This window comes from Homo sapiens, chromosome 10 (genome assembly GCF_000001405.40).
Source record: "Homo sapiens chromosome 10, GRCh38.p14 Primary Assembly".
Lineage (NCBI taxonomy): Eukaryota > Metazoa > Chordata > Mammalia > Primates > Hominidae > Homo > Homo sapiens.
The window spans coordinates 5,196,136-5,221,089 of record NC_000010.11 but is presented as its reverse complement, the minus strand read 5'-3'; the positions used below and the strand labels follow the sequence as shown (position 1 = coordinate 5,221,089).

The window sequence follows — 24,954 nt, the reverse complement described above, 5'->3', positions numbered from 1 at the left end:
AATATAATGACATGAGGAATTGGATGTAACAAAATTCTGTAACCTCTGTGTGTTCCCAATTTAAGCTTTAAAAAATTCCAAGTAACTGTTTTTTTGTTTGTTTTTGAGACGCAGTCTTGCTCTTTCACCCAGGCTGGAGTGCAGTGGTACGATCTCTGCTCACTGTAAGCTCCACCTCCTGGGGTCACACCATTCTCCTGCTTCAGCCTCCTGAGTAGCTGGGACTACAGGTGCCTGCCACCGCGCCTGGCTAATTTTTTATATTTTTAGTAGAGACGGGGTTTCACCGTGTTAGCCAGGATGGTCTCGATCCCCTGACCTCGTGATCTGCCCGCCTCGGCCTCCCAAAGTGCTGGGATTACAGTCATGAGCCACCGCACCTGGCCTAAACTTTCTTTTCAAAATAAGATTTCTGTGAAAATGAAGGGTAAACAAGTAGAATAAGCCTGTAGCAGATTTACTATTTATTTTTTATTTTTTTAGATTTACTATTTATAAATGACTTCTAATTATTCACATCTTGGGGAAAATAATGTCATGCATACTAAGAAAATCTGAAATTCTTTAGCATTACATACTTGACTAATAAGTTAAAAAAACATTAATTTTTGATTATGTCAATCAACTTTACAAGACGTGAAATAATCATTACTTAGTCTAGGAACATTGAGGTGGAACAGGAAGGCAGCAATTGAAATGAGCTTTGTTTGAGTCATGCTAAGTGTGAAAGTCCATTAGGCACTAATGTAGAGATGCAGACAATATGATGTTTCATTCTGGAGTTTCGGAGAAAAAGCTCACCTGCCGATATTGATTTGTGGTTTCTTGGCCTAGAGGTTGTATTTAAAGCCATGAGAATATTTGACATCATCAAGGAAATGAGTGAAGACAGAAAACCAGTCCAAAGATCACCCAAGGGTCTTCCAAAGTTTATGGCCTCTTCCACTTCTAAGAAACAAATCATTTTAGGAAATATTGTAAACTACAAAACTTGGCAGGATATTTCTCAGCTGAAAGACATGGCTTAAGGAAACCCCTCTAATGGGGTTAAATCAGTGGAGGGTAAAAGCACTGGAAAATGTGCACAGGTCATAAACACCTGTCAGTCTCAAAGTGCTTTGGCCAGTAGCCCATAACATTGTCCCAACTTTTCAAAAAGTTGTCTGGAATGAAATTTTATTTTCTTGACTAGCTGATTAAATTTGTACCCCTACAAACTATATGAACAATTAGGTGTCTTTAGTAACTTTCAGGAATAATTGTTACAAAGTTTGAAAGCATCATGCTATTGACATACACTGTTTACAGAAGAGTTTTGAAATTTTGGATAATTAGATGTATTTGCAATTCTGAAATTAATTTGACAACATGTAATGGCTTTCAGATATTTTATATTAGTAAGTGTGCCTTTTTGAATGTATGAAATATTTCAAAAGACTGAGTAGAACAAATTAAGAGTATATTTTTAGAATCTAAAATTTGTTCTAAATGGAGCTGATATTCAGGAGAATGTGGCCAGTCACTGGTGTCTTTGATGTCCTGCTCCACCACAGCCCAGCAAGGTCACTGCTGATACTGGGCACACAGAGGAGGTCAAGGCCTGGCTCTCAGCCTTAAAACGATGTGGGAAGTTTCCTTTTATGCACAAGACGTAATTAACAAAAGAGCATGTGTTTGTATTTCCCAAGCAGAATGTGCTCAACTCCCTTCTCACCTCTCCCATATCTGACTCCTAATTATTTCTCCTGGATGGGTGCCCTCCCACCTCCCTAACCATTACCCCACAGGGATGCTGCACCCCTAGGTTGCTGGAGCTCCCATTCTTGCGATGCTGGAGGGAGGCCATTAATTGTTGGTCATCCTGTCAATATGGCTCATGTTCAGGTTCTGTGCTGTGTGTTTTCTTCTTTCTGGAAGAGCTAAAGACAGACTAACAAATATGTCACTTGCTTCTCCTCTAGAGGCTGAAAACTCCACCTACTCTCACCTCAAAAATGTCTATAAAATATTGGTTATCATCTGCTCTCTGCCCCAAACTTATAGGCAAATCAGTTTTTGGCCTTAAAGAACTAGAAGGAAAAGAAACACACAAGTAACAGAGAAAGGAGTAGGAAAAGAATCTTTAAGGAAAAACATTCAATTACTTCAAGATAAAAATTTATTATGTTTGCTTTCTGGACCATGGATATATCTAGCTAGCTGAAGTTGCCAAGCAGGAGGGGAGGGATTTAACCAGAGGCTGTGTGTCCAGTCACCAGCATAGAGACATCCTCTGCATCACCATCCACACACAGGGCCTTCTGCTAGATGTCGTGCAACACCCTCTATGCTAATATTCATCTGAAAATGGATAATCAGGATGGTCCATAAGACTGAAAAGAGAAAGGATAGTACATAAATATGGATGAAATGACTCTATTAAAAAGCTGGTAGCAAAGTGAATTTATATGAAGCTGCCATTAGTGTGAATGTTAAGAAGTTTATTTTCGGACTATTTGTAGAATGTCTTTCATGAACATGAGTTTATAATGTGTTTTTTTTTTTTTTCAAAATAAGAAAATTTTCAACTTATATTCCCTTGCCTGGAATTTATCACACAAACTACACAGGGTCAATTGTTCAAACATAGTCCTCCATATCTGTCAACAGAGCAAAGAGATATTCTGACATTTTCTATTTCAAATTCTCAATGAAAGCAGGAACTCATCTTGCATTGTTTTGAATAGAAATAAGCCAGCTATATGTTCATCATTAACAAAAAGTTTTGAGGGTTAAATGTTATTGGTAGCAATCACATATCCTTTTAAAAGAATGTATTCATTACTGACTAGCTGCTTACCATATGGAAAATATTTTCTTTGATTCAGACATGTAAATTGTCATATGTGATATGGGGTTCCATATTCAAAACCCTACAATATGCTAAGGGCAATCTTTAGGTGAAAATCACACAAAATAGAATGAATAAATGATTCATTAATATTGAATAATTGATTGGTGAGAATTACTGATGTTTGCCACTCTTCCTTTCCTTTTCATGATTTTCTATTTTACTATTTTCCTCTAAACTAATAAAGATATCTAAAAATGTTTGAGTTCTTATGATGTGCTGCTGTGCTTATCCTTTTTAATACATTATCTCATGTCTATTACTTGTTAACATCTCCACTGCAGGCAGTGACATAACTTGTTTTGCCCTCATCACATGAGTGCCTTTCTGTGAATCCTAGAACCTTGGAGCATATAGAAAAGAGTAAGATCTTTTGTCAGCTATATATTATCCCCAAAGATGGGACTTTCCAACTCTTCCCTTGATTTTTTTGTTTTTTAATGACTGAGTCTTGCTCTGTTGCCCAGGCTGGAGTGCAGTGGCATAATTTTGGCTCACTGAAACCTCTGCTTCCCGGGTTCAAGGGATTCTCCTGTCTCAGCCTCCTTAGTAGCTGGATTTGCAGGTGTGTGCCACCATGCATGGCTAATTTTTTTATTTTTAGTAGAGACAGGGTTTTGCCATTTTGGCCAGGCTGGTCTGAAACTTCTGACTTCAAGTGATTCACCTGCCTTGGCCTCCCAGAATGATGGGATTACAGGCATGAGCCACTGAGCCTGGCTCTTCCCTTGATTTTTAATCTATCTTCTCTAAAGCTTCTTTATACTCTGCATTGAGATTTCCATATTGCAAAAATTAAAGCCAAGAGTTCTATTGCCTACTAAGGGCAAACTTCCTGGAGGCAAAATGCAGTGTTTGGGTCATGAGCAAATGTCTAAAGAGAAGGAAGAAAGAAATTTGAAACAATTAAAGATACTGAATTGACATGATCTAGTGAGCAATTCCATATGGAAGAGAAGAGAATTTCTGGCATGGACACCAGTGTTGTTGGAAATGTTTTTTAGCTGATAAGAAACTGAGTGGATTTGGAAGAAAAAGCTATAAGTACAGATTTGGAAAAACATTAATCAAGCCATATGGGCAATATCTACTGTCCACTAGGCCACGGCAGAAATGCCAGGCCTACATGAAAGTTGCAGATTTAGCAATAATATTGGCTGCTCTGGAAATTTCCATGGAGTCAGGAGAGCAGAGGCACAGGTTGACCGATGCTGACCCTGGGTCCACTCACCCTGTCAGAGAACAGAGCTCTGGAGTGAATCCAGAAGGAGAGTTCCAGAGAGTTCCTGTCTCACCTCTCACTTGCACTGGCCTCTGTCTCCCTGGTATTGAGGTCACTTTCAACACCCATCTGACATTCCTCCTCTAAAAATAAACTGGGAAACCCATTTTCCAAAGTTACTTACAAATCCATGACAACATATCGATAATTTCTGTTTAGACCATCTAGAACTTTCATATCCTCTGATGTCAACTGGAATTCAAAAACCTACCAAAGAAGTAGAAAATGTTTATTCTTAGATTGCATAATTGTCAACTTGGAATAGCCAAGTATATCACACAGTAGGGTGTAGAGGCAATATGTAAAATACTTGATAAGTTTCCAAAAGTTATGAAAGACCATCTCTAAACTCTCAAGTGATTAAAGAATATCAGATAAAATATAAATCTATTCCTAGATATTACATATTGAAACTGCACAAAACTGAAGAAAAGATCTCAACAGAAACTAAAGATGGAACGAAGTTGACCTTATGTGCACATGATTGGTTCATGTACTTAGATTCAGAAGAATCTAGAGAAATTTTGAAATGTATAATTTAGACAGTTTGATGGTGATACAATTTGGATATTTGTCCCCTCCTAATCTCATGTTAAAAAGTAATTCCCCAATGATGGAAGTGGGTCCTGGTGGGAGGTGTTTGTGCCCTGGGGGCATCCCTCATGAATGGCTGGGTGCCCTCCCCATGGTAATGAGTGTTCACTGCATTAGTTCACATGAAATCTGGTTTAAAAAGGAGCCTGACATTTTCTTTTTTTCCCTCTTCATCTCTTGTTATTTGATATGTTTCCTCCTCTGTCACCTTCTACCACGAGTAAATGCTTCCTGAGCCCTCACCAAAACTAAATGCTGGTGCCATGATTTTTGTACAGTCTGCAAAATGGTAAGTCAAAACAACTTTCGGCATATTTTATCTGGCCTCGGGTACTTTATAGCAACGCACAATGGACTAATATGGAAAATTGTTACCAGGAGTGGGACATTGCTAAAAATGTCTGAAAATGTGGTAGTGGCTTTAGAACTGGATAATTAGCACAGTTTGGAAGTGTCAGGAGGGTTCAGAAGAAAATGGGAAGATAAGGGGTAGTCTGGAACTTGTTAGGCATTGGTTAAGTGATTCTGACCAAAATGCTGATTAAAAATATGGCCAACTAAGTTTAGGCTAATGAGGTCTAAGATCAAAATGAGAAACTTATTAAAAACTGGAACAAAGATCACCCTTGTTATACCTTACGAAAGAACTTGACTGCATCGTGTCCATTCCAGGACTTTGTGGAAGTCTGAACTTAGTGATGACTAAGGGTATCTGGTGGAAGAAATTTCTAAGCAGGAAAACATTCAAGAGATAGTGTGACTGCTTCTAACAGCCTATGATCAGGTATGGGTGCAAAGGAATGACCTAATGTTGGAACTTAAAGCTTCCTGAAGCCTCTCCAGAATGAGATGCTGGTGCTATGCTTTTTGTACAGCCTGCAAATTGTGAGCCAAATATAGCTCTTTTCTGTATAAATTGCCCAGCATCAAGTATTTTTTTTACAGCAGCACAAAACAGACTAATACAGATGGATATTGTTGGATTTCTATATTTCTATATTTGCCCCCATGACACAAACACCTCCCACCAGACCCCACTTCCATCACTGGGGATCACATTTTAACATGAGATTAGAAGGAGACAAATATCCAAATTGTATCACCATCAAACTGTCTAAATTATAAGTTTCAAAATTTTTCTCCAGATTCTTCCGAATCTTATAAGTACATGAACCAGTCATGTACACACCAGTTTAACTTTATTTCATCTCTAGTATCTGTTGAGATCCTCTTTGTCTGCAGCATTATACAGTTTCACATCAGATGTAGAAATACTGAAATCCAAATTTATTCATCTGTATTTCCATCTTTGACAAACAGCTATAATGTGAAAAACAATTGTTTTCAATAAAATTCAAGACAGTAATTGTCCAAATCCTAATAACATCATGCTCAAAGAACACAAATAGTTTCTTGAAGAGGGTCTCAGTATACAAATTGGAAAGAATTTAAATATCAAAAAGATGTCACTCATTGCTAACATAATACTAAATTACTAAATTTTAATGGAATACTCTAATGATACAGAGAATGAGAGGAAAAGAATAAAAATGTCATCAATTTAACAATTGATGAGTCTAGGTAAGAAGCATTCATTGTATTCTTAGAATATTTGCATAGATTAGAAAATTCTCAAAAAAAGTTATCCAAAGACTATTAAAAGTATAAGTTTTCTATGAATAAATCTAGGAAAACATACACGAATGCCTTAATAAAGAATGCTATGTAACTAATTGAAGCACATATTAAAATATCACATAAATAACTGAATATTCATATGGTCTATGGTCGTAAACTGGAAGTCTCAATCAGTTCTCACCAAATTGATCTGCAGTTTCACAGCAATTTCAGCCAGAGAACAAAATATTAGCCCTTTTGTTGAAGTTGATATTACTGAATGTTATGTAACAGAACACTCATTCAGGACTAGCCAAGCCATTATTATATAAGAGACTAAGTCAGAAAAATACTGTTACTATTATGGTAGTAAGACTTTCTATTCAACATAATCTTAAACAGTACAGGAAAGTTAACTCTGAAAGAGGGGAAATGTCAGTGAAGTACTTATGGACACTTAGGATGAAAAATCAAGATAAGTGAGCAAATATGGACTTTTCAATAATTCTTAGTAGGACATTTTAGTATCAAGTGAAGATTATGTATATGTACATTTGTACTCTTATTTCACATATTAAAAATCAAATTACTATCCCAGTTTATAAAAGCACATTAATACTTTTATAAGATATTAATAGACAATAATATATTACTTTGTATTACTACATAATATTTTACTATATAATATATTAACATATTGTCATGTTTCCAATATAGAAAAAGTCATGATATTAGCAACCACGAGAAAATGTCATAAAGAATTTGACTACATTAAGAGTAGAAACTTTTGCTTATTAAAACCACCATAAAGGGAATCAAAATACGGGTACATTTTGGGAGAGGCTATTTCAACAATACATTTGAAGCTGTTAAAGAATATCCAGAATATGGATTCTGGATTAATTCTGTAGAGCTGCCTCATTGCCCTGCACACACGTGAGAAAGCCCAGCCAGAAACAGGACGAGACTGAGTTCAGGTGGAGCTTTAGGCTAAACTTCAAACCATGGAATTGTCAGTTAAATAAATGGTTTTGTATTAAACCTCTATGTTGAGAGGTTTTCTTTAATAAGTTTACTCAGTATAATTATGATCTTCTACACATAGAAAAAGACATGCAACCTAATAAAATACCCAAAGATTTCAACAGGCACTCAACAAATAATTCTAAGAGAATAAATATATGAAATTTATACTGAGTAAACAAGGACATGAAAAATCTGCAATGATTTTTGAAGATTAGAGAACACCTAACCCAACTCCTCACTTCAGAAAATGAAGAAAAGGTGATGTCCCTAGCAGAGGGATAGAGTTAAGTTGCCAACTTTATGTTGTGAAACCAAAATTCCTGGTTTTGGTCCCATCCTGATTCTCTCCACCCATGCTGCCCCTCCTGTGGTAGAGTAGAAAACACTTATGCACACAAAGCATTTGTGCATAGGAAATGCCCAGGAAGTGGACTTAGTCCAAGGGTGTCCTGAGAACCTTACAAGAAGCACACGTGTGAAGGACACTGTGCAGGAGCCCTGATGCCCACCCAACTCCTCACCTGGATGTTCTCTCTGATCCGCTGCTCATTGTAGCTCTTGGCCAGGACCACAACCCCACGCTGCAGCTGGTAGCGCAGGGCAATCAGGGCTGGGGTTTGTTTGTGTTTCTTTGCTAAGGCACAAAGAACTGGGTCCTCCAAAAGAACTGGGGAGTTTGGGTCCACCCTGGAAGGAAAGCCAGAAATGCTGAAGTCTTGAGGCTGGATTCAGTTTGGTAGGAGGCTCCCTAAACAGACTAAGGTGTTCATTCTGCACCAGAGCCTCTCAAGTGAGGTCCCTGAACAGCAGCAGCATCACCTGGTATCTCATAAGAAATGCAAATTATCCCCTTACCCTGACCCATTGAGAATGAACTCTAGGAGACTGAGTATGCTATAACTAAAATTTTTCATCAAAATGGCATTTTAGGTAAACTTCCTGATGCTCTTATTACCATAGTTTATGTCGTTGGGTTCCCAGAGCACTGTGGGCAACCAGAACAATGTCTTTTGACTTGCAGAAATCCAGCAGTTTGCTCTGGTTGAGGTAAGGATGACATTCTACCTTTAGATGATCAAGAGAGAAAAGCATCAGATAATTCAAAACAGATATGTTAATATAAAGATTAAAATAAGCTGAATAAAGTATAACATTAAATTTGAACAGAATATTACTGTCAAGTAACAATCATTTTATAAAAATACAGTTTATATTACTGGTCTAAAAGTATATATAGAAATGTTATTTCTGAGCATTAGCAACTCTATGAACCAGAGCCAGTTTCTAACAACCTTTGACCACTAGAAGTGCACATGGCCAATTCTAGACTTGGGATAGGTTAAGATTCTGAGCTTTGAACATCAAATTGTGCCAGAATGTAAGAATTTCTTTAAAGACTCATAAGGGCAGGTTTAAAAGAGAAAAGTAGTTTTATAGGAATCCCAGTAACATTTGCATAGATTTGAGCATCAAAAACCAACAATGAATAAAATGAATTACAAATTATAGCAAAACAATCCATGTCTTCATAGTGTTGAGTGGTTAAAAGACAGAGTGATCAAAAGTATTTGCCTTCACCAATGGTGATTCATATGTTTTGGCTGTGTGTCCCCACCCAAATCTCATTTTGTAGCTCTCATAATTCCCACATGCTGTAGGAGGGGCCCAGGGGAGATAATTGAATCATGGGAATGGGTCTTTCCTGTGTTGTTCTCATGATAGTGAATAAGTCTCTCAAGATCTAATGATTTTAAAAATGGGTTTCCCTGCACAAGCTGTCTCTTTGCCTGCTGCTGTCCATGTAAGACATGACTTGCTCCTCTTTGCCTTCTGCCATGATTGTGAGGTGTCCCCAGCCATGTGAAGCTGTAAGTCCATTAAACTCCCCTTTTTCCCCACTCTTGAGTATGTCTTTATCAGCAGCATGAAAATGGACTAATATGGTAGAGTGGGGCATTGTTGAAAGATAGATACCTGAAAATGAAGTGACATTGGAACTAGGTAATATGTAGAGGTTCTGACAGTTTGGAGGGCTCAGGAGAAGACAGAAAAGTATAAGAAGGTCCGGAACTTCCTAGAGACTTGTTGAATGTCTTTGACAAAAATACTGATAGTAACCAGGCTGAGGTGGTCTCAGATGGAGATGAGGAACTTGTTGGGAACTGGAGCAAAGGTGACTCTTGTTATGTTTTAGCAGAAATTGACATTTTGTCCCTGCCCTAGAGATGTGTGGAACTTTGGACCTGAGATGATTTAGGATATCTGGTCAAAGAAATTTCTAAGCAAAGCATTCAAGCAGTGACTTGGGTGCTGTTAAAAGCATCCAGTTTTAAAAGGCAAACAGCATAAACGTTCAGAAAACTTGCAGTCTGATGATGCAGTAAAAATTAAAAACCCATTTTCTGAGAAGAAATTCAAGCCAGCTGCAGAAATTTGCATAAGTAACAAGGAGCCAAATGTTAATCACCAAGACAATGGGGAAAATGTCTCCAAGGCATGTCAGAGACCTTTGTGTCAGCCCTTCTCATCACAGGCCCAGAGGGAGGTGGAGGTCTAGGAGGAAAAAATGGTTTCATGGGCTGGGCCCAGGGTCTCCATTCTGTGTGCAGTCTAGGGACTTGGTGCCCTGCATCTCAATCACTCCTGCCGTGACTAAAAGGGGCCAAGGTACAGCTCAGGCCATGGCTGCACAGGGTGCAAGTCCCAAGCCTTGGCAGCTTCTATGTGGTAGTGAGCCTATGTGTGCACAGAAGTTAAGAATTGAGGTATGGGGCTGGTCGTGGTGGCTCACGCCTGTAATCCCAGCACTTTGGGAGGCTGAGGCAGGCAGATCACAAAGTCAGGAGTTTGAGACCAGCCTGACCAACATGGTGAAACCCTGTCTCTACTAAAGATGCAAAAATTAGCCAGGTGTGGTGGCACGTGCCTGTAATCCCAGCTACTCTGGAGGCTGAGGCAGGATAATCACTTGAACCTGGGAGGCGGAGGTTGCAGTGAGCTGAGATAGCGCCATTGCACTCCAGCCTGGGCCTGGGTGACAGAGTGAGACTCCATCTCAAAAAAAAAAAAAAAAATTGAGGTTTGGGAACCTCCACCTAGATTTCAGATTTTAGAGGATGTATAGAAACGCCTGAATGTCCAGGCAGAAGTTTACCACTAGGCATGCACTCTCATGGTGAACTTCTGCTAGGGCAGTGCTCTGGGGTCAGAGCCCCCACACAGTCCCTGCTGGGGCACCACCTAGTGGAGCTCTGAGAAAAGGGCCACCATCCTCCAGACCCTAGAATGGTAGATCCACTGACAGCTTGCACTGTGCACCTGGAAAAGCTGCAGACACTCAATGCCAGCCCATGAAAGCAGCCAGAAGGGAGGCTGTACCCTGCAAAGCCACAGTGGTGGAGCTGCCCAAGAACATAGGAACCACCTCTTACATCAGCATGGATGTAAATGGAGTTCCATTGACTCCTGGATGTGAAACATGGAGTCAAAGGAGATCATTTTGAAGCTTTAAAATTTGCCCTGCTGGATTTCAGACTTGCATGGGTCATGTAGCCCCTTTGTTTTGGCCCATTTCTCCCACATGAAACAGCTGTATTTGCCCAATGCCTGTACCGCCATTGTATCCTGGAAGTAACTAACTTGCTTTTGAGTTTACAGGCTTATAGGTGGAAGGGACTTGCCTTGTCTCAGATGAGACTTTGGACTGTGGACTTTTGATCTAATGCTGAAATGAGTTAAGACTTTGGAAGACTATTGGGAATGCATGATTGGTTTTGAATTGTGAGGACATGAGATTTGGGAGGGGCCAGGGGTGGCATGATATGGTTTGGCTATGTGTCCCCACCCAAATGTCATCTTTTAGCTCCCATAATTCCCATGTGTTGTGGGAGGGACCTGGTGGGAGATAATTAAATCATGGGGGCAGATATTTCCCATGATGTCCTTGAGATAGTGAATAAGTCTCATGAGATCTGATGGTTTTATAAGGAGGAGATTTCCTGCACAAGCTCTTTCTTTGCCTGCCATCATCTATGTAAGATGTGACTTGTTCCTCCTTGCCTTCTGCCATGATTGTGAGACCTCCTCAGCCATATTGGAACTATAAGTCCCAGTCTTGGATGTGTCTTTATCAGTAGCATGAAAATGGACTAATATAGTGATTATTACAGTAATTTTTTTTCTAGGAAATGAATAATTAAAGGGAAGGAGTTAAGCTTTTGGCATATCTGAGAGCAGTAATTGTTTCTTTTCTTGACTTTGTGAAAAAAATTTTTTTATAATAAAACGTAAAGAATAGTAAAACTTGTAGTTAAAATTGAAAGTAATTACTTTAAAGCCCCAAGGAAAGAACAAATACAATAATACAATACAAAAATTTAAAACATCATTGATGTATACTCAATCATCATGTGAAAATTTGCTGTGTAATATAACTTTCCCTCTTATTTCACCCAGCAGATTACCAGTAATTACAAAGGGGAGAACACATGTCTCTGGAAATTAGATCTGGTTACCACTTGTTTAACCAAGTGATCAAAATTAGCATCACTAATTGTGGGACAATCTGTCATTTCATGCTGCCTACTGTGGTATAATTTCAGGGATACAGCAATGTAGAGGCAGTTTCTCACCAAAAATGTTTAACTTCTATGATATAAAGCATTCAAGTATAACTTCTAATCTACACAAACTTAAATTTTAAAAACTTGGAACAACAAGTTAACGGACCAAAGTACAACAAACTGAAAGTCACAATTGGATGTTTTTTTTTTGTTTTTGTTTTCATGATACATCTTTTATTTATTCTTCATTGTTTTATAATTCTCTCCTTAGAGGTCATACACATCTTTTATTAGGTATAATTTCAGGTACTTAATATCTTATGGTATCTTTAAATTTTTTCATCTTCTATTTATGGTTAAAATAGAGGTATAAGAGATCTTTCAATAAAACAATGGGAAATATGAATACTGACTGGATAATCAATGATATGAGGGCATTATTGTTATTTCCTTAGATATAATAATTGCACTGTTACTGGGAGAATATCTTCATTCCTATGCCATGCTTTGAAAGGTCTGTAGAGGTGAATTGTGATCATTGGAATATATTTTGAAGAGATTCAACAAATACTACCTGTATTGATGCAGATATACTCATATATGCCTATATACTTGCCAGGTTGGCAAAGTGTCAACAATTTTGGAAATAGATGATAACATGTAGATGTCCTGTATTATCCCTTCAAATTTCTCTAAAATTTGAAAGTTGTCATAATAATAATTGAGTAAAACTAATATTAAAACCACATTAATTCCTTTTTAATTGAAAATCATGATTTTGTATTATATTACCAAATACATAAATTTTAAATACATGTTTCAACTGTAGACCTGTACTCATTGACTCTAAGTAGTAAAAGAGTAAGAGAACAGAACCATACGCAGAATAAATGCTTCTAAACAGTTGATTTGATGACAGAAAGCAAAGCAGTGCATCAGAATAAGATGTGGACAGTCAAAAGGTCAGCTCAATGTTCTGCTAAATTTTCCTCAGTGTTGATTTCATCCACCATAACTAGTTATCTCCATAAATAGTTAACTTTCCTTTTTTTCACTCTTTAAAGTTTTATTTCACTAACTTTGCATCAAATTTCCACAATTGTGTTCTGGTTAATTTACTATACTTGCTTGACTTCCCAAAATGATAGTACCAAAATATTTGTGGGCTAGGGAGAAGAGACCATTTCAAGCATTACTGCATTTACTCATCTTCCACAAAGCCACAGAGTTGGGCATCTGATTGTTCAATGAAATGAAGCTTTGATAGCACCCAGGAGGGCATACAGGAAAACTAGGCTGTAGACAGTCTTGCATTTGTCAAAATCAGACCAGAGAAAATCTATTCTACATATATAGAAAAGGTATCATATTCATCTTTTTATATTACTGCAATATTTTTCTCTTCATTATCACATCATGGAGTTTCTCAAGTCCTTCCTTTATTTCATGTCCTATGATTGCACAGGTAGGCTGCAAATGCCAAGGAGTTGATGAGCTTAGTTCAACCATTGCTAACAATTTCTCAATTTCTGAGAGAGACAAGTTCTTCAAGTCTAGTTTCTTAGCACCTGTAAGTACAGGGACATCTTTATTTTCTTATACCCTATTTTATAAAGTTCAGTTTTGACTTCTTCCATCCTGTTAACATCAACAGTCCACAACAAACACAATGCCATCTGTGCATCTTGCATATGGCTTCTACAGTGTTCCTCATTTCTTCTGACCACCTACATCTCAGGAGTGAAAAGTGACTTTTAGAATTTTCCAAAATTACCTTAATCTTTTCAGTGTTAAATCCTTTGGTGTGGGTATGGTATTTACAAATTTATTGAATAGCAGCCTGTATAAAACAGTTCTTCTAGCACAGTTCAAACACCAAATAACAATGTGGAAGGACTGAAGTGAAGGCAGGATGGACAAGATAGTAGTTTAGCCAGTTAGCCCATTCCCCCATTTCCAGCTGCAAATAAATGTCCCAAAATGAAATGCTTTCTTTTTTATGCTTTAGAACCTCTCTTCCTAGGTGGCCCAGCTATAAGACTCCCGTTTTGGAGTCTGGGTCTAAATGAGGCAACATTGGCAGGCTTTTCTACACGAGGCAGGGGTGGGGGTAGCACGCCACATCCTTTCAGCTTATCTCTCAAGCAACTCTCATAAACGGGTAACTTCCTCTCCCTAACCTGGATGACTTTCATTGTTTCCAGTTAATTTTTAGTACCTGCTCAAGAACTATGAAAACAGAGATGACAAGAAAAAGCATTCAGACATCTAAACCCTATTTAAACCCGTAGTACCGATCTTCTCTTATTCTCACTGTCTCCTGATTTATTGCTCATCCCATGTTTTTATGGCCTCTATAATTATATACATTCTACTCCAAATCATCTTTACCAATCCACTCTCTGGTGGTCTTTCATACCTTAGAGATAAGTCCACCTTCTCCCTGAGTTCTGATTAACCATTTCAGTCCTCCTTGATGAAATTCACCTCCCCCAAAAATAGTACACACAATTTAGCATGAAGGTCTCTGTACCATTTTCATTAAGACTTCTCCAAGAAGAGGTGCAATTAAGGGTCTTCCGTTTTCTTCTAGACAGATGTTTTGCTTTCTAGAATCTTCTGTTTCACAAATGTAAGTGGAACAAAACAAATGGAAGCCAGGCAGTAGGACAGGAAGATGGACATTGAGAAGAGAAAGGAGAGGAGGCTGAGGGTGCTCACCTGGTTGCAGACAGGCTTGTACTTGAGTCCTGGCTTGTTGAGGATCATCTCCAGCTGCCTGCAGTTGAAGTTTGACACCCCGATGGACTTGGCCAATCCTGCATCCTTACACTTCTCCATGACCTGGGGAGAAAGGGGTTGTGAGGAATTATTTGTGCAGTTGGCTGCAGATTATGATAAATGCAAGACAGAACTGTTAAAGCAACAACTGTTAAGATATGACAATGAAAATAGCAGTGATTCTCAAGAGAAAAAATTACAACAGATAACAAAAGGATAGTGACAGCAAGAAGAATTTGTGTATCCTCTTTAGGAAGCTGGAGAGATAAATGTCCATGGAGCGGGAGGAATATCTGTCTTCCTTGTCCCCAGTTTATCTCCTTCATTTCCTGCTATTCTATTTCAGTCATGTATTCTTCCCTACCACTCAGCAAAACTTCCTTTGTCAAGCTCCTTAATTTCTAGTTCCAATGGTGCATATTCCAATGTTGCATATGAAAGCTGGGGAACAGGTTTACCTCTTCTTGTCTTCCTTTTCTGTACTCTGTCCTCCAAGCACTCACCTCCCATGTGGCAGAGAGATCCACTGTGTCGAATATTACTTTTCCATTTTCATCTTTTGGTAGTGGCGTCTCACCTGGCTGAAGTAGAAGCAGTCACTTTAGTGTCACCATTTAACTTTTCCACCCATAGGCATGCTCCCATGTACATTTTAGGATAATAATCCACCGTGAGGTAGGTGCTGAAATGTTCTAGAAAGTGATGTGGGCCAAGTGTTTCACGTACAGAGTTTTAAGGAATGTCTTTAGGAGACAGGCTTCCTTTAATCTCCTACTTCCATTATATATATTAATAACCATTTTACAGGTTTTAATGGGGGTTCACAGTCGACTTCTGTTACTTTTGTCTGATCCTATAATTTTTTTGGGGGAAATGCCTCTCTTTGACTCAAACAGCCCTTGATATCCAGCAATAAGGGATTGTATTCTTGATCCAGGTGATACAATAAGAGTTCCTTATCCCCCTGAAGACTTGATAGTCCATGAGCAGGATCATAAACTAAACATGTTCAAATGGAAGTTCTTTTCAGTATTAATTTGAAAGTTGTAAGACCCACGGAGGTTCTTTTATGTTAATCACCATGAGCATTGAGCTGCCTCAAAGCTATCATTGCCAACAATCAAAAAGGCTGGGACAAAAATCCAGAAAACTTCTTGGAGTTCATAGATAATTATGGAGAAAGGTCACATTTTTAGAGTCTACGTCAAATCTTGAAATGTATTCATGGCAGTGACTACCCATTTGCATCATGCAATAAACTCTTTTTTAAATAAACTAGCCTGAGTTTTTTTTCTATAAATTTAAAAGTTATGCACAACCGAAATTCATGACTAGGCAAAGCTACAAACTCCATTGTGAAATAAGCCTTAGTGAAAAAGGCAAGGATTCTCAGGTCCTATTATGGTTTCCTTTTTAAAACTCACCCAGAGTGAGTTCCACCAAATCTACTTCAGCTTAAAATGGGGAAAGATAATGGAAACTCACTGTACACCACATGTGCAGCAGTTTTTTTGGGGTACCACAGCTGCATGGATCTCTGTATCTGTGAAGATCCTAAGAGATGGACTCAGGAACCCTAATTAAGACAGAGCCTTGAAGGTGGCTGTTGTTATTTTCTTGAATTTTTGAATCAGAGGCTTTGAGGTTGATGTACTGTCTTCTCTTGTCATCATACGTTACAGAAGGAAGGTTGTACTCTTCAAGAAAATGGCTTAGGCATTATACTTAGGACTCTTCTGCCATGTAATAACACCTACACCCTCCTTAGAAGAAGTTCAATTCAACCATCATAAAGGATGGTCATGCTGAGAACAGAAGAGAAGTTGATCTCACAAATTCCCTACCTTGAGAGCCATTGGGAAATGAAGAAGATAGAGGTCAACATAGTCCAGTTGAAGTTTTTTCAGTGAGCTTTCCAAGGCTGGTTGGACCATCTGTGGTTGAAAGAAAGTGCACCAAAGCTGCATGGTAAAATAAAGGATTTATGTTGAATAAAAACATGAGCTAGTTTTATTAGTTTGCTTCACCTAATATTTAGACATTTTTCACCGTTCCAAACAGATGACCTCTGGCAAAAATTCCCTTTGTTTTATTTTGATATGACCTACCTATATGAAAGCTACATATTGCATATATAGTTAGTACAACTGCTGAACAATGGAATTAAAATTTTCAGTAGGTAAAAATTGATATCAAGTAATTCTGATGATCTGAACTGTGTTTGAGAGAAATTATAAAGCATTTGAATAGTCTAATTTTTCTCATCCATTGAACCCGATGGGCAAGAATAAGCATTCCTGTTTAGAAACTGAAGAGCAAAAAGTTTTTACGTGCTGACATGTGTTGAGCAATCATTCAAGATACTTCTGTTATCTGTTGTTTCATACTCATAACATCCTTATGTTGCATCTCCCTGCCTCCCACACTCTTCACTGAAAAGGACAATTGAGATTCAGAATAAGATATTGAAGAAAGTCATCCCAGACATAAGAAAAACTAAAATATTGATTATAGGTCTCTCTGAATCTGTAGTCTATGTTAAACCATCCTGGTCTGAGTTTTTTGTTCCCAAGATTGTGGATTGGAGGCAGTGTTAGCATGCCTCTCCCACTTGGAAAGACAGAATAGCATATAGAGATTCACACTGCAAACTTTTTTCCAAGAAGCAATGCAGGAACTTAATAGGAAAAGTGAAAATTCACAGACCCTTTGAAAGAAGTGGCAGGCTACAGCCAACACTGTGAGACAGATGAAAAACTGTAAGTGCCCAGAGTGTGAGAAGGGGAGAAACTGCCTCCAGAATACTCTTCCCCACCAGGGAATCTGAGAATTCAGGCCATGGGTAAGGCCTTAACCCTACCCAGGCCCAAAGCTGATTTAGGGAGAGGTGAGAAATAAAGTAGAAGCGGCAGTGACAAGTGTCACAAAGGTATTACCAGTCTCCAGCATGGACTGAGGGAAGCCATTTCTTATTTTATCTCACAGGGGACATCAGCAAAGTCAGCCAACTTGAACTTGGGGAGTTCAGCCACATGTCACAGATCGAAAGAAGCTCCTAACTGAATTTCATGATATTAATATTATCTCAAGTGGGAATGAGCCCCCTTGGCCAGAACCCCGGGGGAAAGCAGGAAGTGTGCTGCAGACAAATGCAGAAGGCTGGCACCTGGCCTTGAAGGTGGATGGGGAGGGGAATAGCTTGAAAGCCAAAGTTGCTATCTCCACAGGAGATGTTCAAAGAAGAACTGGTACCAATCCTACTGAAACTATTCAAAAATACAGAGAAAGAGGGAATCCTGCCTAAATTATTCTATGAAGCCAGTATCACCAAATACCAATACCAGGAAAGGACATAACACACACACACACACACACACACACACACACACACACACACAAAAGAAAACTATAGACCAATCTCCCTGATGAATACAGATGTAAAAATCCTCAAGAAAATACTAGCTAACCAAATCCATCAGCACATCAAAAATATATCATGATCAAGTGGGTTTCATCCCATAGGTGCAGGGATGCTATAATATATACAAGCCAATAAATATGATATACCACACAAAGAGAATTAAAAACCAAAACCATAGGATCATTTCAATAGATGCAAAAAAGCAATTAATAAAATCCAACATCCATTTATGATAAAAACCCTCAACAAACTAGGCATAAAATGCATATATAACAAATCCATAGCCAACATCATACTGAATGGAGAAAAATTGAAAGCATTCCCCTGAAAACTGGAATAAGACAAGGATGCCCAATTTTTACCACTTCTATTAAACATAGTACTGGAAGTCCTAGCCAGAGTAATCAGGCAAGGTAAAAAAAATAAAGGGAATCCAAATTGGAAAAGGATAAGCCAAAGTATTGCTGTTTGCCAGTAATATGATCATATACCTACAAAACCCCAAAGCCTCATCCAAAAAGCTCCTCCGACAAACAAATTCAGTAAAGTCTCAGGTTACAAAATCCGTTTACAGAAATTAGTAGCACTGCTATTCACCAACAACAACCATGTTGAGAGTCAAATTAAGAATTCCATTTACAACAGCTGCAAATAAAATCCCTAAGAATATGCTTAACCAAAGAGATGAAAGATCTCTACAAAAAAATACAAAACACTACTAAAAAGAAATGATACATAAACAAATGGAAACACATCCCATGCTTATGGATAGAAAGAATCAATAGTATAAAAATGGCCATATTCCAAATTCATATGGAACCACAAAAGGGCCTCAATAGCCAAGGCAATACTAAGCAAAAAGAAGAAATCTGGAGGTATTTCATTACCAGACTTCAAATTATACTACATGACTATAGTTATACAAACAGCATGGTACTGGTATAAAAAATAGGCACTTAGATCAATGAAACAGAATAGAGAACACAGAAATTAGGGCAAATACTAATCTTTGTTCAACAAAGCAAACAATAATATAAATTAGGGAAAATAACCCTATTCAATAAATGGTGCTGGGACAACTGTTAAGCCACATGTATAAGAATAAAACTGGAAGCCATCTCTCACCTTATACAAAAACCAACACAAGATGGATCAAAGACTTAAGTCTAAGACCTGAAACCATAAAAATTTTAGAAGATAACATTGGAAAACTCTTCTTAACATTGGCCTGTACATTGGCCTCAGCCAAGAATTTGTCTCTAAGACCCCAAAATGCAAATGCACAAAAAGCAAAAATAAATGGGACCTAATTAAACTAAAAAGATTCTGCACAGCAAAAGAAATAATCATGCGAGTAAACAGACAACCTACAGAATGGAAGAAAGTTTTTGCAAACTATGCATCCAGCAAAGGACTGATTATCCAGAATCTACAAGGAACTCAAGTCACCAAGATAAAAACAAATAACCCTGTTGAAAAGTGGGCAAATAACATGAATAGACATTTCTCAAAAGAAGTATACAAACAGCCAACGAACATATGAAAAAATGCTCAACATAACTAATAATCAGGGAAGTACAAATTAAAATCACAATGAGATATCACCTTCTGCAAGAATGGTTATAATTAAAAAGCTGAAAAGACAGTAGAAGTTGGCATGAATGTAGTAAAAAGAGAACACTTTTACACGGCTGGTAGGAATGTAAATGAGTGTAATCTTTATGGAAAACAGTATGGAGATTCCTTAAAGAACTTAAAGTAGATCTACCATTTGATTCAGCAATCCTAATACTGGTATCTACCAAAAAGAAAAGAAGTCATTATATATAAAAAACACATACCCACACATGTTTACAGCAGTATGATTCACAATTGTAGAAATATGAAACCAATCCAAGTGCCCATCAACCAATGCATGAATAATGAAAATGTGGTATATATATATATACATCATGGAATAGTGTATATATAAAAAGGAATGAAATAATATATTTTGCAGGAACTTGGAGCTTGAGGCCATTATTCTAAGTAAAGTAATTCAGGAATGGAAAACCAAACACTGTACATTCTCACTTATAAGTGGGAACTAAGCTACGAGGATGTATAGATATACAGATTATATAATGAACTTTCAAGACTCAGTGTGGGTTAGGTTGGGAGTGAGGTGAGGGATAAAAGCCTACATAGTGAGTACGATGTCCAGTGATCGCCTGACAGCTTCACTTAAATCTCAGAATCACCAGTGTAGAATTGATTCATGTAACCAAAATCCACTTGTACCCCAAAACCTGTTGAAATTAAAATATGAATTCATAAAATAATTATACTGATCTGAGCTGAGGCTCAAAACCTAAAGTAACTTTCAAGTAGTAAATTTGAACACAACAATGATGAGAAAGGCATCATCATTCTCTGCCTTTTATTTTAGCTTTAATACCTGAATATGTGTGAATAAATTGGAACTAATAAGCACAATTCACCCACAACTACTGAACCAGTTACAGAATTGTCATCTCCACACAATCCCATTAAACACATGTGCATACATGCTCATCATAGGCACAGTACCTTTGAAGTGTAGAATATGTCTTCTCTCTTCACACTGCCATCTGCAATCTTGCTTCGGATGGCCAGTCCAACCTGCTCCTCATTATTGTATAAATAAGCAGAATCAATATGGCGGAAGCCAGCTTCTATTGCTAATTTGGTGACCTCTACAGCTCTGTTCCTCGGAACCTGAAGGAGCAACGAAAGGTAGTATTTGGTGATCAATGTGCTTGAGAGGTAGTGAAACAGGAAAAGTTCCCTTGTCCTCACAGGGTGTGCAGTGGGGGTGTGGCTCGCTTCTTCAGGCCCCCGCTGCTCAGACCTCTAGGGGAGCATACAGATGGGGGCAGGTTGTGGGACTATGACCCGTTGACAGTGTCTAGGTGTGGATGTTTACAGCTCCTGAAGCCCCAGTGGGCATGTGTTACAGGGTGCTCTTTTAGTTTTGTTCTTTAAGTTTTGCCATCTACAGGCTTGTGTTAACCAGCTCAATTAGACCCTCTACCTTATGGCAAGGACAGAGGGCTTTCTGTATCCTGAGTTCTTGCTTTGGTTTACCGGAAGGATCGGATCACACCTGGGCTTGGTGAATGAGTGCAGGGTTTCATTGAGTGGAGGTAGCTTGGGGGGAAGTCAGAAGGGGATGGAGTAGGAACGTTTTCCCCTAGAGTCCGGCTGCTCAGCAGCCTGGACTGTCTTCTGACTGCCCCAGCCAAACTCAGCGTCATTCTGCTTCTGCCAGTAGGTGGCCCGCTGGCGTACTGGTGCCTTTCGGTGCATTTCTCTAGATGTCTAGCCACCTGTGTATTCCTCTGCCGATGTGATCCTCTCAAAGTCCACCCGGTTCTGTCTCTGCCTTGTTAGGATTTGGGGTTTTTATAGGCACAGGATGGGGGCATGGCAGGCCAGGGTGGTCTTGGGAAATGCAACTTTTGGGCAGGAAAACAAAAATGCCTGTCCTCACCTAGGTCCGAGGCGGTGGAGCCGTAGCCAGGGACCACGTCCTCCTCTAGCCAGCACTTCCCTTCCCGCTTTCTGTATCATTTAAAGGGACCACGCTCTTCCCTTCCCAGCACATCCCTATCAGTAGTTCAGGCACCAGCACTGACCTTCACAAAAATCACATTATCCTCGTGTCTTGGGTTGGTTCTATATGTGGGGTGATAAACCCATCCCAATTTGCTGAAGTCTTTCCTGGTTAGTAATAAAGATTGGGTATCCCTGGACCTCTTCAGTCCCAGGCAGTTACTGGTTAATCACTAGCATGGAGTTTCCCAACAACAACCTCAGATTCAGTCATTTGTTAGAAAAATTAACAAGACTCAACTTATAAATAGTTATTATTATTTGAGACAGAGTCTCACTCTGTCACCCAGGCTGGTGTGAAGTGGGACAATCTTGGCTCACTACAAAATCTGCCCCCACCCCCACCTTCTTTACCTTGGGCTCAAGTGATCCTCCCACCTTGGCCTCCCAAATAGCTAGGACCACAGACAGGCATGATAATGCCTGGTTAAGTTTTTGTATTTTTGGTAGAGATGGGATTTCCTATGTTACCCAGGCTCAAACTCCGGAGCTCAAGGGATCCACCTGCCTTGGCCTACCAAAGTTCTGGGATTACAGGCATGAGTCACTGCATACACACTCCTAATTATTTTTAATATAGTGAAATTAACACATGGAAAAAGGCACATGGAAGAAATTATGGTAAGAATACGGTGTAAGTTCCTATGATTCGTCTCTCAGTGATGTTTCAGGAAACACACTGACTTCCTCCAGCATCACATTTTGGCAACATAGGGGAAATGTTGACTACAAGGGATGCTATTTGGAGACTCAATTCCCAAGATTTTAACTGGGTGCTGGTTAAATTGACCCAGTCTGTATAGCACACACCAAACTTCCGGTCTTGTAAAGAAAGCAGGTATACAGAAACCCCACACTTTGTACAACCAGTTAATTATAGATGCTACCCTTATCAGTTAGGAAGGGGTGAGAAATTCAACTTCTCAGATACCAGCCAGGCTCCAACTTTGAAAACAGGCGCATCTACGGGTGGCAGTCTATTGTGTTAACTCCTTTCTACACAGCCATTAGCCATTCTGTGTGCATGACAGAACTAAATACTAGGAGTAAAGACATACATTCCAAGGATGTAGATTTATACCTAAGAAATTAACTGCGACCTGTGAGAGATTAGTAAGGTACGCTTTATCCCTAAAAAATAAGACCAACTCTTTTAGAAACGATATAATTTCAGTGAAATTTAAAATTATTGACTTATCTACCAAATTTGGATAAAGATTTGAAAGGTATATTTTTTAAATGACAAAACCGTAAATGAAACAATTTTCTATTTTAATATAAGCTTTTCTGAAGCTTTCTTTTTCTAGTGAAATTAAAAGGAACTAGATGCCAGGTTGCACTACCTTCCCCTGATGCCAACCCTGATCCTCTGTTTGCTGTGCAGGCACTCAAGGTTTACCAAGGCTAGAGCTTCCGTGTTGTGCTTTTCCTTACTTCTCCTTCATGCCAATTTGCATTACAAAGTGAACCACTCCTGTCGATGGTCTTCAAGGTGTTTCTCTGTAAATTCTTACAACGTATAGTTGATCAAATTTAGACAAAAATTTTATGTGACTACTCCTTATTAACACACTTAGTAGTCTTGGAATACAAGTTTTCTTCCAGTGTAGAAATAGCTCAGTCTAGAAAAAATGTCTCCATTTTGCCCACTTCCGTGTCAGAGGGCCACCCCTATCATTTTGATACAAATCTGATGCATATTAACACGGACCAAAAATTTAAAATTTTTCTTGTGAGGTTCTAGGTTTTCCTTAGAATAAAGTTATTTTTCCTTTCAGATAATTTTCCTAGAGGTGAGAGTTGTGCAGGGCATTGTATTAAGTCCAGGACCAGTATTACTGTGTCATGCTCAAGACCACGCGGCAGCTCAGCAGTACTCTCCCAACAGTTTTCATACACCCCATCTTTAGGTGCTGTTACCACAAATGTTTCTTTTGATCACGTCTAGTAGAAGAATAAAAGATTTCTTCAACCACAGAAATAAATGGAGAAACCATTCTCACTGCAGTCATCTCCTAGAAAGGGAACTGCCAGGCAGTGTTCTTCACTGTTGAGTTTTATATATTCTGCCAAGCTGGGCAATACACAGAAACAGCATATAAAAACAGTGTATAAAATAAAAATAAGCAGTAAATTACCATATGACAGACCTCAGTGCAAAACAAACATTGACTACCTTTTCTCTTTGAACATAGAATAGCTCTAGCCCAGTAAGACAGACCACGTGAGTCACTCAGGGTAACAGAAACACAAAGCTGAACAACCCAGGTCATCGTTCACTTATTCTAGCTTTGCTCTTTTAAATGCTCAATGCTGAAAATGTGATTATTACCTCTGGAGGTGCATAGGTGCCAAATCCCAATACGGGCATGAAGTGACCATCATTTAGCTCTACACGCTGATATTTGGGATCCATTGCTTGCCACTTCTTTCACTAAGCAGATCCTGTTTCCTTCAGCAACATCTGGCATTTATATTCAGGGGTTATGTAAAACATGGGCAGGCAGTGCTGCACTGCTCCCTGGGGCTAATCAATGGCATGTAGGAGGAAGCAAGTGATGGTGTATTACACAGGCTGTGAGGAAAATTGAATCCAGTTCACTCGTTTCTTATCAAAGAGAATTTTTACATACATTATTATATAGTCAAAATATTTTTTTCTAAAGTGAAATTTTCTATTCAGAATCAATCAATCTCTCTCTCTGTCTGTCTGATAAACTCATCCAACAGGTTTATAGAATGATTGGTGATCATGTTAGACTATAAAATACCTCCAGCTACAAATCTTGTTTTTGTTCATGCCATGATGATATCCCATCTTTATCTTCTGTCATTTGAAATAATCAACCATCTTACATCTTTCTCTCAGACAGTATTCAAAAGAATGACCAGTGAGCATTTTTTTTTAGTGGTGACCCTCAATAAAGAAATTAAACAAAACCAAAGAAAATTTCTCTTTTTACGTTTTTCACCAACAAATTAATTTTGTTTCTTCTTTAATTGTAGTAGGAATATTCATTCCTGATGAAGGTGTGGTCCTGATGATGTGGCAATCCTGCAAAGGTTCAAAGGGAAAAGAAAACAGAAATTCTGACATGATGTTTATTGGAGTATTAATTATTAACAATGTTTGGACTTTGGACATCAT

The 24,954-nt window shown here is 38.5% G+C and overlaps 1 protein-coding gene and 1 pseudogene across 1 annotated transcript, besides 2 other annotated features; both read right to left on the bottom strand.

Annotated features, from left to right (window-relative positions):
* On the bottom strand, positions 2,141-24,253 carry AKR1C4 (aldo-keto reductase family 1 member C4). The gene is made up of 9 exons (NM_001818.5): positions 24,139-24,253; positions 20,742-20,909; positions 16,597-16,713; positions 15,256-15,333; positions 14,693-14,815; positions 8,365-8,474; positions 7,931-8,096; positions 4,297-4,379; positions 2,141-2,372 (listed from the first exon to the last, which is right to left on the bottom strand). The coding sequence occupies exons 1-9, from the start codon at positions 24,220-24,222 to the stop codon at positions 2,330-2,332; spliced, it is 972 nt and encodes a 323-aa protein (NP_001809.4). The 5' UTR covers positions 24,223-24,253; the 3' UTR covers positions 2,141-2,329.
* Positions 10,956-11,125: an enhancer, noted in NCBI's record as "experimental_13158 CRE fragment used in MPRA reporter constructs". NCBI's record gives its function as "activates a minimal promoter by MPRAs in K562 erythroleukemia cells, with activity observed for both the introgressed and non-introgressed 10:5252013 variant alleles {active_cell/tissue: K562}" and the evidence as "EXISTENCE:reporter gene assay evidence [ECO:0000049][PMID:34662402]".
* ARL4AP3 (ARF like GTPase 4A pseudogene 3) lies at positions 13,029-14,388 on the bottom strand (annotated as a pseudogene).
* Positions 20,914-21,137: a silencer, noted in NCBI's record as "fragment chr10:5241916-5242139 (GRCh37/hg19 assembly coordinates)". NCBI's record gives its function as "represses an EF-1alpha promoter that drives an FKBP-Casp9 reporter gene in an ReSE screen in HepG2 liver carcinoma cells {active_cell/tissue: HepG2}" and the evidence as "EXISTENCE:reporter gene assay evidence [ECO:0000049][PMID:32094911]".